General features: G+C 39.2%; 1 protein-coding gene across 1 annotated transcript in view; it reads right to left on the bottom strand.

Annotated features, from left to right (window-relative positions):
* CFAP43 (cilia and flagella associated protein 43) overlaps positions 1 to 18,090 on the bottom strand; it is a 102,477-nt gene that overhangs the window by 52,186 nt on the left and 32,201 nt on the right. The window contains exons 9-17 of the mRNA NM_025145.7: positions 15,849 to 15,965; positions 14,780 to 14,860; positions 11,793 to 11,941; positions 10,126 to 10,229; positions 6,197 to 6,337; positions 5,247 to 5,419; positions 3,901 to 4,050; positions 2,943 to 3,073; positions 293 to 440 (exon numbers count right to left, since the gene is read on the bottom strand). Coding sequence (NP_079421.5) covers positions 293 to 440; positions 2,943 to 3,073; positions 3,901 to 4,050; positions 5,247 to 5,419; positions 6,197 to 6,337; positions 10,126 to 10,229; positions 11,793 to 11,941; positions 14,780 to 14,860; positions 15,849 to 15,965 — 1,194 coding nt within the window. The remainder of the gene's footprint in view (positions 1 to 292; positions 441 to 2,942; positions 3,074 to 3,900; positions 4,051 to 5,246; positions 5,420 to 6,196; positions 6,338 to 10,125; positions 10,230 to 11,792; positions 11,942 to 14,779; positions 14,861 to 15,848; positions 15,966 to 18,090) is intronic.

Here is an 18,090-nt window from a genome sequence, read left to right on the forward strand (position 1 = left end):
AGAGAGACCATTTTGACCAAGCACAAGTGTGGGTAGAAGATTTTTTTTTCCAGGCAAGCCTGGATCTTGTACTATGGTTTAAATGAGATCTGAAATGTACTATTTGCAATTGCTTTGAGAAAGGCTGAATATTTTCTCTCAGACGTAGCTTATTCCCTTTTTGAAAATCATGGGATACCTGGATAAAGAGAAATATTACTAAATATCTGCTTAAAGAAAACCACAAACCGAAAACTTCTGATTTACAAAGAAAGAAATGTAAGCAAGCAAGCTAGTCATATAGGAACTCAACTGTGTGTTCAGAATCGGATCCCAAATCTACGGAAACTTTTGGTGTTGTGCTTAAATAATGATTCTCCTTGTCCATGGCGCTGCTCAGGGAAATTAATAGTTTCTGGTAATAGTCCAGAATTTCACTGGCTAGGTGTCCTCCAAATCGCCTATATTAATAAAAAAGAAAACACAGAGGCTATAAAAATCATAATTTAAAAAATCACATTTAGCTGTATTATTTTCAGGTAACTAACCATTTCAGTTTATAGGTAACTAACCAAGGAAATATGTGGACAATTCTTCACAGTGCCTTGTGGAAACTTCTTCAGTGCCTACTTCTTTTGCAGAATTTCTTCTTTTTTTTTTAATTTTTATTTTTTAAAGAGAAAGGGTCTTGCTCTGTCACCTAGGCTGGAGTACAGTGATGTAATCACAGCTTACTGCAGCCTCGAACTCCTGGGCTCAAATGATCCTTTCACCTCAGCCTCTAGAGTAGCTGGGACTACAGGGGTACACCACCATGCATGGCTAAAGGACTCTGCTTCTTACAGGAGACCCTTTCATGGGTTCCAGGCCATGACAAGCTTCTTGACCTTTCTAGGGTACCCTCTCCTCACACTGTCCTCATACCCTTACTCAACATGCCCTCTGTACCTGCCCTGGTCATTGCACAGAAGAGCCAGTGCACTGGCTGAGCTCTCGGAATGCACCAGGCAGTGTGCTACTTCACACACATAATCACATGTGGCCCCCTCATCACCCCACCCTGCATTGAGAGTGGTATTATTACTTCCACTTAATTCACCAGGGCATTGCAAACTTTGGACGCATCAGCATCACTGGGAGGGTTTAAAAACAGATTCCTGGGCCCCACTTGCAGACATTCTGACTCAGAAAGTCCAGATGGGATCCAAGAATATGCATTTCTAACAAGCTCACAGATGCTACAGACCCCCTACCTTAAGTAACATTGTAACAGATGATTTAGAGGGGTTGTCATTTGCCAAGGTCACAAAGTCAAAAGTCCTAGACCATCGTTTTTTTTTTTTTTTTTGAGACGGAGTCTCGCTCTGTCGCCCAGGCCGGACTGCGGACTGCAGTGGTGCAATCTCGGCTCACTGCAAGCTCCGCTTCCCGGGTTCACGCCATTCTCCTGCCTCAGCCTCCCGAGTAGCTGGGACTACAGGCGCCCGCCACCGCGCCCGGCTAATTTTTTGTATTTTTAGTAGAGACGGGGTTTCACCTTGTTAGCCAGGATGGTCTCGATCTCCTGACCTCATGATCCACCCGCCTCAGCCTCCCAAAGTGCTGGGATTACAGGCGTGAGCCACTGCGCCTGGCCTAGACCATCGTTTTAAACCCAGCTTTGTTTTGAGTCAGAAGTTTGGGTGATTACCAATGGATCAAAATGTCCTTCTTTTTGAGCTGCATAAATAAGGCTCCAGCACTTGTTTGTTGTTGCCTGAGATAGTATTTGTTCGCTGGTTATAAACAATATGTTAGGACTTACATAGTGAGATAAAAGCTAATATTCTATTCAGAATCCCATGTATAAAATGGGCATGATGATGCAATCCTCAAATGAGTTTTTGAGGTAAGTGGCTAGCAAAATTGTTATGATACAAAATCTCCACAACATTTAACATTTTCACAATGTTGCAGAGAAGGGCCGTATTTTATTACTGCTTTGATCACAGGAGGTATCACGAAATATTATTTTTTCTAAAATGAATTGCATGATTGAAACCACCTTTGCAAAGATTACGGCAGTGAAAGAAGTCTAGCATGGCTGACTCCATCTTGTTTCTAGTCTCACAGGCTGGATGTTCTTGTTCATTCCTCCTAACCATGGGAGGAATTTCGTTTATAGTTTAACTTGGAAGCAAGGATGATAATAGTACCTCCCTAAAACGGATCCCCTCCTTGTTTGGGGACTGAAACTGTCTTTGATATAATCTAAGCAAAATCTAATTAGGAAAGTGTGTGTATATATACATACATGTATATGTCAGGGATAAACAGGAGTTTTTAAAGTTATCTGAGGGTCAGAATTGTCCACATTTCTTATGTTATGAGAGATAGGACTGATCACTCTCAGATAAATATTAACTATGTCTTTTTTTTTTTTTTTGTATTTTGATGCTCTGATATCTGGGGCCTTGCTGACTTCTGGAGGCTAGCCAGTCTCTGAAGATAGTAAACAATTTGCTCTGGAACACGCTTTTCAAAAGCAAACCGATCAATCCAGAGACCATACCCCCAACCACCTCCTCTAGTGGGCTTTCACAATCGGGGCCACCATTTCCCCACCCTAATCACCCCAGGGCCAAGTATGAGACAACTACAGCCAGCTCCTATGCCTCAGAACCCACTGATAATATTCAAACTAGCCAATCCTAAACCTGCCCAATCCTCCCTGTGAAAACCATACTAGAGGATCTCATCCACGTTTTCCTCCCTCTCTCAGCCTCCTGACCCACCCCAGGTCTGCCCCATGTGGTACCCGAGAATGCAGTGTACGCTTCTCTTGGGATCTGTGAGTATAACAAACTTTCTTTGCACTGGCAGTGGTCTCCCAGCACGTTGGCCTTGCTGTACTTAAATAATAATAAAATCTCTATTTTAACACACTATACTACATGGGGTTACTTACTGAATACTGTACGTACTTCCACTTTAGGTAGACAAGGGTGCCATCATCTCTCCCATTCACCAGAATGTTTTGTCCATCCATTGAAATTCTCATTGACTGAATCCCATGACCCTGGTGAGAATGACTCCGACACCAAGCAAATGTTTCCTCAATAGTTAAGAAATAAACCAGAAAAATTACAAATGCAATTCTACCACACGGCTTTTCTAATGGGGTTATATGCCCCTTTTTTGTGGATAAATCATTTTCTATTTGCTAACAGCATTTTAATTGGTATGGAAGTAGGCAATTGGCAATACATAGTATTTAAAATCCCCAGTTCAAACCACATTCACCAATACTAATTTGTTCTTCCACTACCTTTGTGTAGTATGGAAGGACAGGGATTATTATCACCAATTTATAATAGGAAATCAGACACAGAGAAGTGAATGGATTGCAGAAGTCTATAAAGCTAGGGAAGGGGCCTTCAGCAAGCAGAGATGGTGAGTTCCGATGGCTTCAAGAGTCAGGGAGGTTCTATTTATGTGTGAAGTAGCTGAGTATAATGAGAGAGGGTGACGGGCACTGTGAAGAATGGAAGATAACATGCTCTGAAGGATGCTAACTAAGCCAGTTTGATTAGAACTTAAACAAAATGCATCATCAATTTGGTATATAGGGCAACAATTTAAAAACTGAGATTTCTGAGTCATACTGGTTCTCAACCATGATGCCTTTTCTCATTTAGGTTTTTAAATAGGCAATACATTCAAATGGTTCAAAATTCAAAAATTATAAAAGAGTATTCTGTGAAATCTCCTTCCTGTTCCCATGACCTAATACTTCCAATGGCAAGCAAGGTAATTAGTACCTTCAATATCTTTTCAGAGTTTTTATGCATATATAAGCAAATTTTTATATACATATAAAATGTTTCCTATATGAGATCAATATATACACCCACAATATTTTTTTTTAAGAAAGCAGCTTACCAAAGTATAAACGTCTCGGATACACAGAATTCCACATTTAGCTATTGTTATGAGCCACAATCCATGTGAAGACAGATAGAGCAGTCCAGGTCCATACTGTCTGCTTTGTACTTTTTTGTATGGTTTAAGAATGTAGATACCGGTATGTTCCTGCCAATCAAAGAAAATAACCACATTATAGAAAAGATCAGGTAAACAGCACCTTTGGGTTTGCAGATATACATGCCTGTTGTATATTGTCATTGTAAATAAAATGATATGGCATAAAGTGCAAACATTGTCATTGTAAATAAATGGATATAGGATAAAGTGGACACCTGCGTTTGCATCATGTTTCCCACTTTTGCAAATAAAAGTTTGTTTCTGCCAACTAAGTAAAGTCTTCTTTATTTACTTGCCATTAAAAATCCTAGCCTACACTGATAATCTTTGCTTTTACTAATCATTTTCACATATCTTCATGCTTAAGTCAAAATAATGTAGTCAATATTCCCCGTATGTTTCATGCATTCCTACCTCCAAGCCTCTGCACGTGTCCTTCCTTTTGTCTGGAATGCCCTACTCTACTCCATCCCCACCAGTCCTGCCCTACCTCCCTATATGAGCGCTGCCCACCAAAATTGTATGCAATATCTCTCCATGTCTAAATCTGACTTACTTTTCAAAGTCCAGATCAAATATTGCTTCCTTCATGAAACTTTTCTTGAATCTCTCTTGCCACTAATCATTTATTCCTTCTCTGTGTCTAGTCCTGGCTACTCTGTCAAAGAAGAGCTTTGACTGAAGAATTTAGAGGAAGGAAGGCAGACCTTATCAAAGTGGGTAGACAGACATCAAGGGAAAGTGACAGGTCAAGGGGCAGCAAGCAGGAGGGTACTGGGCCATTATGTGCAGCAGGAGGTGACACAATGCATGAGAAGTCTGAAGAGAGTGTAATGAAAAAATGTCAGAAACACAGTTTAATTATTTTTTGTAATTTTGGTTATGGCTTAGATGCAAAGTTCCACTGCAAATCAAATCATCTACCTTGTAGCCCTTGGCATATGTAGAATAGATTTCCTAATGCTAGGTTGTTTTTTAAGGCACTAAACTAATATTGTGTCATCTGCATGTTTATCTGACAAAGATGATGTATGTGGCACAAGTATCAGGTTGCTCAAATATATTGTATGATGGATTAACAAATAACACTATATATCTAGCTCAAGGGAATTATATTAATAAAATGAAGGCATTTGTTAACTGAACTATTCTGTTAAAGTGGTCAAGAGGATCACATCTAATCAGTATAATGTATCAATCTTGATTGCTAAGATAAATGAGAGCACACTTAAGTGTTGACATACTTCTTCAGGAAGAAGGTAGCTACAGATGTATGGCACTTGACTACAGAAGCCATATATTTGGTTACTTTGAAAGCCCAAGACTGCAGAGGACAGAGCGTGCTCCAACTCATACAGGTACTTATGAATGATTTCATCTTTCAGCCTTCCTCTTTCATCAGCAAAGGTTGTGGAAACTATTAGATTTGGAAAAAGAAGAGAAATCACTTGTACCATAAATTAATTTTGTTTTTTTAAAATTATGAACAATTATGAAAAGCAAAATAAAATTTAAATGCTCAACTAATATTGCGGAAGCTAGTAGGTGATAAAAATGATTTAAAAACACTTGTCTCCCTAGAAATACTTGAGTATTAAATGACTGATAGTGGGTAAAATATTTCTGTAATGCCTTGATTAATTTTTAATCAATTAACTTAGAGACATATTAAAAGAAACCCATGGTAGTATAGAGATTCTTATAAAAACATAAAAGTACTTGGAGGTTGTCGGCTCTCTTCTGCTCTATAATTATATATTTGCAAAACTGCTAACCTGATATATTTGTCATTAAAACAAGGAAAGAGTATCTATTTTCTCATACCTTTTTATCCAGAAAACTGTCTTTATAATTTTGTCAGTGAAGGGAACTACACTGTAATCTATCTGAATTTAACCTTGTCTATTCAAAGCTACAAAACAAGAGACATCACAAAAATAACAAATCAATTTGATGTGTCCGTTGATCCTATCTCTTTTCCTATGGTAATAAAGCAGACTCATGAGTCAGGAAGCCCAGAGGAAAAGTCCACACTTCAAACTGTTTAGCATGTTGGTTTTACTTTGTAAAGATAGACAAAAGGTGGCCATTTTACCTCTTCACATGCCAAGATAAAAACAAAACAAACCCAAAAAACAATAACAACAATGTATCTGGGCTCAGGAGCAGAACTGGCTGCTTATGTTTTCCTTACCTTGTGGCAGTAATGTAGGCAGTGTGAACATCTCCAACCTGCTTCTCCCTGCTTCTGGAAGCGAGGAAAGCACCATCACTTCCACTATGTCTGTTTCTAAAAGAGACACTGTGGATATCTGTAAAATGTCTTTGGCCACCTCTGAAAGCAAACAGAGATCAACACCACAAGTGGTCATTGATAAGTTTAAATGATCTTTTACCTTTCCAATTAAGATATCATCCATGGACTTGCCTTCACTATATCTTTAGAATCAAATTATTTGCTGGACATTTAAAGTGACCTTTAAACATAAGTTACAGGGACATTTTTGATGAATGGATGAGGGATTCTCCTGATTAGATGTCTAGACTGGCAGATTTAAACCAGCCCAGTCTGTCTGGGTTTCCTTCCCAGCCAGGGTGGCCCCAGAGTGCACCATCTCCACCCCCTATCCCTCCAAACCAGCATCTGCATGAGCTGGTCCCCACAAGTCCACTCCAGCCAGGTTACCTAATCCTAAGATTGGGTAAACTTAGGCATCGGCCTTCTTTGCATCTGTGGTCAAGGACTGTGGGTGTGGTGGAAACGTGACTTTATGAGCTTGCTCCACTAGAAAGCCAGCTGATCTAACCTCTACAAGGTGTGCCAGGCCTGGAGCCCACCTTGGATTTGTTCCAGATTCACTCTCCCATTCTTCATGGGACTGTGCTGCAGGTGCCCACTTTCTCAGGCCCTTCCCCAGGCGGTCAGCAGATGACCTTCCCTCTTCCTTAACAAGGAAGACCAAGGACATCTACATAAACTCAATCTCAACTTTCTTATCCTGAGACTCACACTTTCCCCTTGTCTGTTTCCATTTTCTCCATTCATTTCCTGACATTGATGTAGGAACAAAATGTAACCCCTCCCTGTCTGTGATTTTTGAGCCCATTCCTCCAATCTCCTATTAGACCATACATTATCAATCACCTCTTTTTAGCTTCTTGTGTCCCTTATGGTTCCTTTTATTCAGCCCTCATGACTCCCCTGTCTTCAAATAAGAACCTTCCTCCAACTCTGCTGTCCCACAACAGTTAACATCTGACTCTCTTTTCTCCACTGCAAACTTCCTAAAATAGTTTTGGCACTTTCTGACTTAATTTTCTTACCTCTATTCCCTCCCTAACCTTCTTCATTCCAAAGAAGTAGCTCTCTCAGGGATCACCTGCTGACTGGCAAATATATGAGAGCCTATCTCAGCCCTCTCCCTACCCACACTTCTGTGTCAGCCTGTACTTTCATCTGCCTTCCTTCTTTAGGCTGTTTCTGGAGAGAATGACTCCCAGTTCTCTTATTACTCTGGCCCAGCCTCAGTTTTCTTCACTGCCTCATCTTCCTCTGTCCACAGCTTCAATATAAAATGTGGACCAGGGTTCTATTCCCAGCTTCTTCCATCCCACCCTCTGGCCAAACAGATACATTAAAAATGGGGCAGGGAACAGTGGCTCATGTCTGTAATCCCAATACTTTGGGAGGCTGAGGTGGGAGGATTGCTTGACTCCAGGAGATCAAGACCAGCCTGAGCAACATAGAGAGACATTTTCTCTACTAAAAAACAAAACAAAACAAAACAAACAAACAAACAAACAAAAAAAGGCCAGGCGTGGTGGCTCACGCCTGTAATCCCAGCACTTTGGGAGGCCAAGGCGGGCGGATCATGAGGTCAGGAGATCGAGACCATCCTGGCTAACATGGTGAAACCCCGTTTCTACTAACAAATACAAAAAATTAGCCTGGCGCGGTGGCGGGCGCCTGTAGGCCCAGCTACTCAGGAGGCAGAGCTTGCAGTGAGCCAAGATCACGCCACTGCACTCCAGCCTGGGCGACAGAGCGAGACTCCATCTCAAAAAAAAAAAAAAAAAAAAAAAAGGAAACAAAAACAAAACAGAGAACAAGCCAGGCTTTGGGGCATAAACCTGTAGTCCCAGCTACTCAGGAGGCTGAAGCAGCAGTATTGCCTGAGCCTAGGAATTCAAGGCTATAGTGAGCTATGATTGCACCACTGCACTCCAGCCTGGGTGACAGAGCAAGACTCTGGAAAATAAAATAAAATAAATGAAATGGAATATTTAGGCAGGATATACATCCACTCTGAGGTCAGCCACAGGCTGTACCACACTCAGTGCCATCTAATTTGCATATTTAGTTACCTCTTTTGCCTTATTAAGCATCCAGGTTTACTTCCACTCTGTTGAGCCATCTCATCAGCTACCATGATTTCAAGATCAGAATTCTATCATTAAGCCTTGAACTACATATCCCGATTTCCAAACTTAAGCTAAATATGCCCAAATGAAGAGTTTATTGGCTTTAAACCTATGGAACTCATCAGCTCAACCTATTCCTCAACCTCTAGAACTTTCAACTAATGGCATTGCAAACTTCCACCATTCAGGCTAGAAATTTTGGAGTCATCACTTATCCCTTCCTTTCGCATCAAATACCAAGTCCTACCAATTCCATCACTCGTGGTTGTGCCCTCTTTTCTCTTTCTGTAACTGCAGCATGAGTTTGTGCATTGTGGATAAGAGCACACGCCCTGAAACTGGACTTCCTTAACTGGGCTCTGCCACTAACTAGATGCATGGCCTTGAACAAGTACTTAGCCTCGCTTCGCCTCAATTGCCTCATGTGGAGAGATAATAGTAGTATCAATTTCATGAAAGTTGTCTAAGAATTCAATGGGTGGAGACATGCTGAGGGCTTAGAATACTGGCTACCACATAGTCAGGCATTCCTCAATAAGTGTTGGCTGTTGCTATGATTATGACTATGATCATCTCTTGCCTTGGCTAGTATTATAGCTTCCAATCTCATCTTTTTAATTTCATTCTTTTGCCTTTCTACTCCATCCTTCACACTGGTATCAGAGTCAGTCTCTAAAAACGAAGTCAAATCATGCCAGCTCCATCTTGAAACCACTGATGATGGCTCATTAACCACAGAACAATTCCAGACTCTTTGGAATGATATTCAAGGTCCTTCCTCTTTCAGACTTCATTGCCATAGTCATCTTCTAGTAAACTCTTCCATTTACCTGTTATACCAGACTTTTTTACCATTCCAAGTACCTTTGTTTGGGTTATTATTTTGAGCAGGAATACTAATATGTCCTATCCCACACCTATGAAAATCCTTCAAACCCACTACTTTAAGCCCTTGGAAAACTCCTCCAATCCTCCGCACCCCCTGACCAGTGCCCACCTTCACCTCCACTCCTCTCCTCACACTTGGCAGAATGAATTGCTGCTGTATCTGAGCCTACACAGTATCTGAGCCTACACACCATTCTGCATTTTCCTCCTCTACTAAATTGTCTCCTTAATATTTTCATCCCCCTACAAGGCCTAGGTTTGGCATTTTGCACCTTGTAGGCACTCACTAATTTTTATAAGTCAATGATAAACAAATTTAAAAACTTAGGAGTGGGACTTGGCAAAGTGTGAGGAGCAAAAAAAAAATTTTTTTTAAGGAGAATTTTAAAAAAAATTGTGTGTGTGGGGGGGGGGAAACACATATACAGTTGGCATGTAAAGCCAGAGAGAAAATAAAGAGAAAATTCTTCATTAGAGATAAAATATTAAAAAATATTTTCAAGAGAAATCAACCCAACTTCTCTGTATGTTAATATTAGAAATGTTCAGCCATTTCATTAATGTATTTAATAATTGATTCAAGAAAATTTATTTAGCACCAACTATGTACCAAGCAGATAACTCTAATATTCCAAATACATCAAAATATAATGTGAGAATTCTCCTAAGTAACTTTAGTTATTTAAAGGTTTCTCTTTCAGAAAATATGCCACAAATAATTGTTTCAATATTCAATATGAAAAGTCCATTTTCATAACCTTAAATTCTTTGAAATAATCAATATTTTAAATTAATCAGCATTCTATGTTGTACCTGTGAATCCAATAATCTGAAATGAGCTTGAGGAGTTGGCATTGATAATAAAGACTTTTCCTTCTGCTGTTCCAACTAACAGAAATATTCCTTGCTGATCATAACTAGAAAAGAAGAAATCTGATGATCAAATCCCAATTGTTTCACCAGCTAGATGGTGAACAAGTTTATTGAATGGCCACAGAGATATGTTCAAAGCCAGTCATTTTTACGGTTTGCAATTTTTAATATTCTCTGACCTTATTAAAGTGGAGTGATTACATGTGGATATAATCATTGTACTTTAGGCCAATGATATTTCCAAATTGCAACTTTAATAAATACAGTCAAGAAGATTCAGTAAAGATGGGCAGTTGGTTCATCATAAGTGAATGAAACATGTCTGTCGGTAGAGCTTTCTTGATGTTTCAAGCGCAAATAAGCAATTCTCAAATTAGTGGTGGGTGTGACATTTCATTACCCTGTGTCTGGTACCTGGCAGTGGGAGGAAGAATGTAGTGAAACATGTCTACAACTTTATCAAATTAGAAAAAGTGGGAAGATGTAAATTAGAATAAGAGGATCTGAGAAAGGAAAGGCACAAAAAAATGACAGTGCAGAAAGGCAGGGGGTAAATGGAAGGAGGTTATCCATCCTTCCCCACTGAGCTAGGGTGGTGGAGCTGGGCAGTCCACAGTGGCAGGGCCAGCTCCTCAGTGTGCTAGCTGTGTAATGTGTAATCTTGGACAATGCTTTTCCTCACCTCTCTAACCCTGAATTCCCTAATTTGTCTAATAGGGATAAGAATAACACCTTTCTGACTGGTGTTTTGAGGATCACATGCCACAAGCTACAGTGATCTCAAGCTGTAAAGCAGAATACAAATGTCTGTTCTTATTAATACCTAATAATATAATAAATTAAAAAGAAACAGTAATAATGATAGCACCTACAAGTCCAAATCTAATGTCTCTATATTATCATCTTAAAAGTATTGCTTCAAAAGTTTTGAAATACTCTAAATGTTCATTAATATACCGTTTTTAAAAAATGATAGTATATTCATATAATGGAATACTATGTGGCTATACAAATAATCAGGCTGGTCTTTATGTGTGGATATAAAACATTCTCCAAGATATACGATTAAGTGAAAAAAGAAATGAGGCATTGTACATAGTTTTCTCCTTTTAAGAGCAAAGGCAGTGACTCTGCAGCCCAACTACCTGGGTTCAAATCCCAACATTTGCCATTCACTATCTGTGTACTATTGAGCAAGTTATTTAAAATCCTTGTGCCTTATCTTCCTCACCTGTCAAATAGAGACAACAAGAGTGTTTACCTCATGGAGTTAATACAGCAGAAGTGCCTGGCACACTATACACACATGATGGCCATTGATACAAGTAAAAAGAAGTGCTTATTATGTTTTGCTTGTTCATGGATAAAACATCTCAGGAGAGACATGAGAAATTGGTACCAGGCTGCCTGCAAGGACAGACCTGGGTATGGGGGGTACTTTACTACACAGCCCTCTGTACCTTTTGAGTGTTGAACTGTGTGAATATATTAACATTCAAAACAAATGAAACACGTAAAACTTAAAATTAAAAGAAAGGATGGCTTCACTAGAATTTTCAACAGACGGGTGTGACACGGAGCCGCTCCTGGAGGCAGAAAGGACTTACACGACGTGCTGCACGGACGATTCCGAGAGAAAGGCCTTGTGCACGACCTGAGGGGATTCCTTATCATATACGCTGATGAAGTAGACCGAGCCATCCTCCGTGCCCACGGCTGCAGAGAGGGAGGATGGACAGCAAGCCAGAACCGTTGCCTGTTTAAAATAAACCCCAGATGCGTATCTCTATTGTGCCTGCTCTCCTACACGTAAGAATGCTATTATACAGTGTACTTGAAAAGCCTGCAGGATGAGAAAAGTGGCAAGTGTTGTGTGGTGGGGTCTTTCAAATTATACCCTCAACGTTCCTGAGCTGATCAACTGCATAAGATGGCACAGGAATCTGTACATCTTATTCTTTTATCCTAAAATTAGAGTAATAAAAATTAGAGAGAGATTTCTTGAAATTGAAATCATGGCTTCATTTTTATCCCTAAATGATGATGAAATGATTATGCCAATAATCTATTTAAGTGATTGTGAAACAATTAGACCAATAATAGTGAAAAATAAGGAATTTAAAAGAAATTCTTAGCATCTTTTAAACATTTTTAAATTTTTATTTATTTATTAGCGATGGGGTCTTCCTCTGTCTTGAACTACTGGGCTCAAGTGATCCTACTGTGTCAGCCTGCCGAGTCGCTGGGATTACAGGTTCAAACCACCACACCTGGCTTTTTAAAACATTTTTATAGATCCTGAGATGCTGGTATGACTAAGGAAGACTTAAGAAAATAACTGTATCACCGGAAGATGTATTCAGTCACCAAAGAAATGCGTAACAGATTCCCATTTATCTCACAATGATTTATACAGAATATGATGTCTAAGAGAATAAATTGACTTTCATAATACTAGAGAAATCAGTATTCTTTCTCTATCAACACTTTGTAGATTGTTTTGAATAAAATCATGGAACTCAGGACTGAAAAAGAACATAAGAGATCATTTTGCAAAATAGAAAACACAGGCCAAGGAAGTCCAGCAGCTTGCCCAAGGATCCCATATGTGGTGACAAACTTCAGATGAAGCAGCCAGGTGTCCTGCCTTATTAGAATGCACACAGTCTCCCAATTGAGTGGGCTTTTTGTAAAATTGAAAACCTCTGTGGGAAGTGTGTGTATATGTGTATGTGTTCCCAAAATAAAAATAATCAGCTGAAATTCTCCTTCATTCCAGGGCGATGGTGTGCTAGTCTGAAAATGTACAGCAAGGGCCAGAGGAGTCTTATGTACCCTTGCAGGTACCATCAGCGGATGCTGCTAGTGTCCAGGTATCTTGACACTGTGCTGCTGGACTGGGATCCCCCAGGACCACTGCCTGAAGGAAGGCAACACAGTCCCGGACGCAGGCAGAGAGACCTGGCATCAGCATTACTGTGTCTGGATCAATTCTCTATAGGGTAATGGTACCTGTATCCCTCCTTGCCCAAGAGGAACAAGGTATATCCTGATTATATGGGCCCCTGGGTGGGTTGTTAAACGTTTCTGTGTCTCTAATGTGTGAAAGGACATGTGATTAAATGCACTTGTAAGATCTCTCCTAGTTTACTATTTCTAATAGAAATGAATACATATAACCCTTGGTCACATAGACTATGGAGTCTTTTCATATTTCAAGTTTTCTCAGTAAGAATTTTTATCTTTACTTTTGTGGGAAAGTTTTATTTATCACATTGAATTATGTATCTTTGGCATCTTATGTAAAATATGATGCTTAGTCTTTTATAATTAAGATTTTAGTTTTATAAAAGGGAAGGACTGAAACTTCCCTACCTAATACCAAGATCCATTTCTCAACTAGAACTGTGTAATGCAGCAAATAATATTATTTTTAAAAAAAGAAAGCATTACCGTTGTTTCTTGGTCCTTTTAAAATGTTATTTTATGCAAAATGCACTGTGAACATGGCAGAAATAATGGTATCACATTGTGGTAGGTGTTTTGGGCAGTGTGGTTTGCAACTCAGCATCCATACGCCCTCCTGGAAAATCTCTTGAATATTCACTGAGAAACTATCCCTCCCCTATCTTCAGGGATGAGTGGAATGAATCTAACTCCCATTTCCAGGGCTGAGTTTGTGCATTAATTATGCACTTAATTGCATTTCTCATCCCCTGTGCATATGATTAGTTCACAGATGTTATTAAGACATTGCAAGACATTTACTGAACCTTCTGGAAAGAAGAAGCATCTTTGTTCTTCCTCCTCCTACAGCAGGAATTTTTCTTCCCTCTCTGACAGTATGATGTGAGGTTGGCACCTGTGGTATCTGGGTGTACCTCAATGAAGCCTAAGATGAAACTAAAGGCATAGTGTGGAGACAGAAAGACAAGGTCCTTGGTATATCATTTAAACTGCTGGATTGAGGCACACATGAGGCCAGACAAGTTCTGTACTTTATAGTTGATTGTGCCAATAACACTTACTTTTTAATTTTTGGCTTAAGCTGGTTAGAGTGGCAACTTTCTTTCATTTCTAATTGATTTCCATTAAATGGGACCATTTAACCAATTATGGCCAAAGGGATATTTCATTTCTGAGAAAAAGCACTTACTTGCTGATTCAACAGCACCCCCTCTCCCTCCAAAAGACCTTTCAGCACTCTCTTCCTCTCCTGCCACACAGCACAGAGGAAGTATTCTTTGGTGGAACCCCCATCAGCCTGGCTCCCTGAGAGACTGTGCAAGAGGGACCCCTGCCAATCCACAATGAACTTATGGCATGAGTAAGATATAAACTACTGGGGTTTCAAAAACAACTGCCACCACAGAAAAACTTATTGTTTTCTATAACCAATATTGTATGCTATGGTTCCACTCTTGGGGCTGTGGCATATACTTTACACACAAGGATTACTGTAAATCTAGAAGGCAAAAATGCAGTGAGGCTTCGGTAACAAGTATTTCTACAGACTATTGACATGTGAATATGAAAAAGTAGATTGGATTAGAATTCAGTATTTTTTTAAAATCCATTTATCAAGTATACTTACTAGGGTATTCAGATAAATCTTGCTTACACAAGCACAATCCTCCAGCCACCAAACACAAATTTCCCCTGAATATGTAAGTGTCTGTAAAAAAAGAAAAACAAAAACTCTACATGGAAAATAAGACTTTCCTATGGAAGCATGTTCTACCTCCCTTTCCAGTGTGCCAATGATTTAGTATAAAATTTCATTTTACTTACGTGGATTATAAATACTTATTTTATCATTTCAACGCCAATGCTTTGTTTCTGAGCAAATATTAACTATTATCTTTAATGCAATTTAATACATAACTAATTAGTATTAGAAAAGTAAAATAAAGATTTTTCATGTAACATATTAAAGATAAAAGTTGCTTATAAAAATCAGTAAAACTATTGCCTAATGAACAAATGTAGAAATAGGAAACTATACATTGTTCTTTTTTAAATTACTAGAACTTATTTTTTTAGAGCAGTTTTAGGATTACAGAAAAATTGAGCAGAAAGTAGAGTTCTCCTTCACCTTCCCCTCCACACACCTACTACCCTACTATTAACATCTTGCATTAGTGTGGTACATTTGTTACAACTGAAGAGCCAATATTGACATATTATTATTGACTCCTTAGACTGAATTAATGTATTATACATGGCAACTATTTCATTTTCAACCTCAGGTGGTGCTGCTGCATTACCTGGAAAAAAAGATACTAAATAAATACTAACAGTTTACTTAGTGCTGATGACTCATTAGCAATGAATGTGTTTTAAAAACGTGTTAAAGCCTGGCTTGCAGAGCTTGGGTGGTGAAAACCAAAAGATGGCTCCTAAGATCTCAATTGTGTTGGCTGTTTTCAGAAGATGATATTATGAAGTCACAATATGAGGGTATCATTCTAACCGGGGGGTAGATTTGAAGATGGAAGTGTCTGGCATCTCCACCACAGTCTTCAAGGACAGCCTCTGCCTCCTGTTCGCATTGCTTTGCCCATGAACTTTCAAAGTTACCCAATAACATATAAATGGGGATTTAAATCTTGCAACATCATCGTATCTTTAGTCCTACTGTGACACAGTAAAATATTCTTTACCATGAAGTATTGGGTTCCAGGTGTGATAAAGTCAATTGCCTGAAATTTCCCATCACAAGCATCTAGGACTTTATTTAAGGTTGGCTCCTTACCAAAAGTGTAGATATAAACAGATCCCTGATAAACATACAAAAGAAAAGAAACACATTGTAATTGTTGTGTATATAGTTCAACAAATATTTATTAAATGCCTACTGTAACCAAGGCTCTATGTGGAAACAGAATATGGGAAATCACAGATCAACTCAGTAAGACCTTGACCCTGAAGGGCTTAAAATCCAGACACTTGATTTGTTTGTTTGTTTATTGATTGATCGGTTGATTCATTCATTCATTCACTTATTCATCATTTTATTTTATTTTAATTAATTAATTTTTGAGACAAAGTCTTGCTATTGTTGCCCAGGTTGGAGTGCAATGGCACAATCTCAGCTCACTGCAACTTCCACCTCCCAGGTTCAAGCATTCTCCTGCCTCAGCCTCCTGAGTAGCTGGGATTACAGGCATGCGCCACCACGCCCGGCTAATTTTGTATTCTTACTAGAGACAGGGTTTCAACATGTTGGTCAGGCTGGTTTCAAACTCCTGACCTCAGGTGATCCGCCCACCTCGGCCTCCCAAAGTGCTGGTATGACAGGTGTAAGCCACTGCGCCTGGCCTCATAAATAACCATAAGACTTTCTTCTTCAATTCCAGACATTCGTTTTTTATTTTTAATTTTTTAAAATTTCATTATTTTGTGTGTGTGTGACTGAGTCTCCCTCTGTCGCCCAGGCTGGAGTGCGATGGCGGAATCTTGGCTCACTGCAACGTCTGCCTCCTGGGTTCAAGAGATTCTCCTGCCTCAGCCTCCTGAGTAGCTGGGATTACAGGTGCCCGCCACTGTGCTCGGCTAATTTTTGTATTTTTACTAGAGATGGGGTTTCACCATGTTGGCCAGGCCGGTCTCAAACTCCTGACCTCAAGTAATCCCCCCTCCTCGACCTCCCAAAGTGCTGGGATTATAGGCATGAGCCACCACGCCTGGTCTCCCAGACATTTATTTTTTAATTTACAAAACATAACAAAACATTTTTTCCTGTTTCAAAAATAATATCTATTTATGTAGAAAATTTGGAAAATGTGTAAAACCCAAAAAGTTGTTAAGATGTACTAAATCCTACCACATGCTAAATATAATGGAAGGAACACTAAACATTTAAACAAGCCTTTGTAGAAATAGTTGAGGTATGGCTGAAGCTGTCACTTTATGCTTATTATTTTCAGCTCCCAAACTCACCTCTAAAAAAAAATCTGTTCTGTAATGAATGCATCTCTACCAAGTAGCTGGTAATATAATATGGTCACTTAACCAGCAATAAGAAGTCTGCTTTCAGCTAATCACAAGTTCTTCACGCTTACTTGAGTTAAACATAAATATTTCTGGTGTTATTTATCTAAAAAAAATGACTTTATAGGAGTTCAAAATTTGGTAGATATTTACTAATGTTATCTTTCTTTCATTTCTTCAATAAATATTAAGTGGATACACAGCGCCAGTCACTGCTTTAGATGCTGGGGTTACAGCAGAGGATAAAACAGACAAAATCCCCTGCCCTCACGGAACTTACCTTCTGCTGGGAGATTCAGACAATAAATAATATAACCAAATAAAATATACTGTAAGTTAAACAGTGATAATTGTAAGAAGAAAAAGAAAATATAACAGAGAAGGAGAACATTATATAGCAAAATAAGAGGGTGAAATTTTAAAGTGCATGTTTAAGAAAGACTTCAGTGAGAAGGTGTGGCAGGCCAGGTCTCACTAACAGCTGAACAGGCAGGCCTCCATGACAACTGTTTCAGCAATGACTGAGTGGTTAAGTTAAATATTAAAAGCTAATAGAGCCAGTGCCCTTACACAAACGCTTGAATGTAACAAAACCCCACCAAGAGTTTTGCCTAGGCCTTTCCTGGGCCTTGAAGCATGACAAGATAACGAAGGAATTCTCAACAGGACCCACTTAGAATTAAATAAGTTTTATTGGGGGGTCTGAAGAAAATCCCCAGACCTCCACAAACAAGCTTTATTGGGGGTCTAAGGAACTCCCCAAACCTCCATGATTTAGCAGGAGACAAAATAAGGGTAATCATACCTGGCACTTGAACCCATCTAGATTAAGTAAATTTACTGAGGCTCCAGAGGAAGGTCTTCAGGACTCAGGCCTTAGTTATATATTAGAAGTTAATCACTTACGTCTTT

Source organism: Homo sapiens, chromosome 10 (assembly GCF_000001405.40).
Source record: "Homo sapiens chromosome 10, GRCh38.p14 Primary Assembly".
In the NCBI taxonomy this organism is placed as follows: Eukaryota; Metazoa; Chordata; class Mammalia; order Primates; family Hominidae; genus Homo; species Homo sapiens.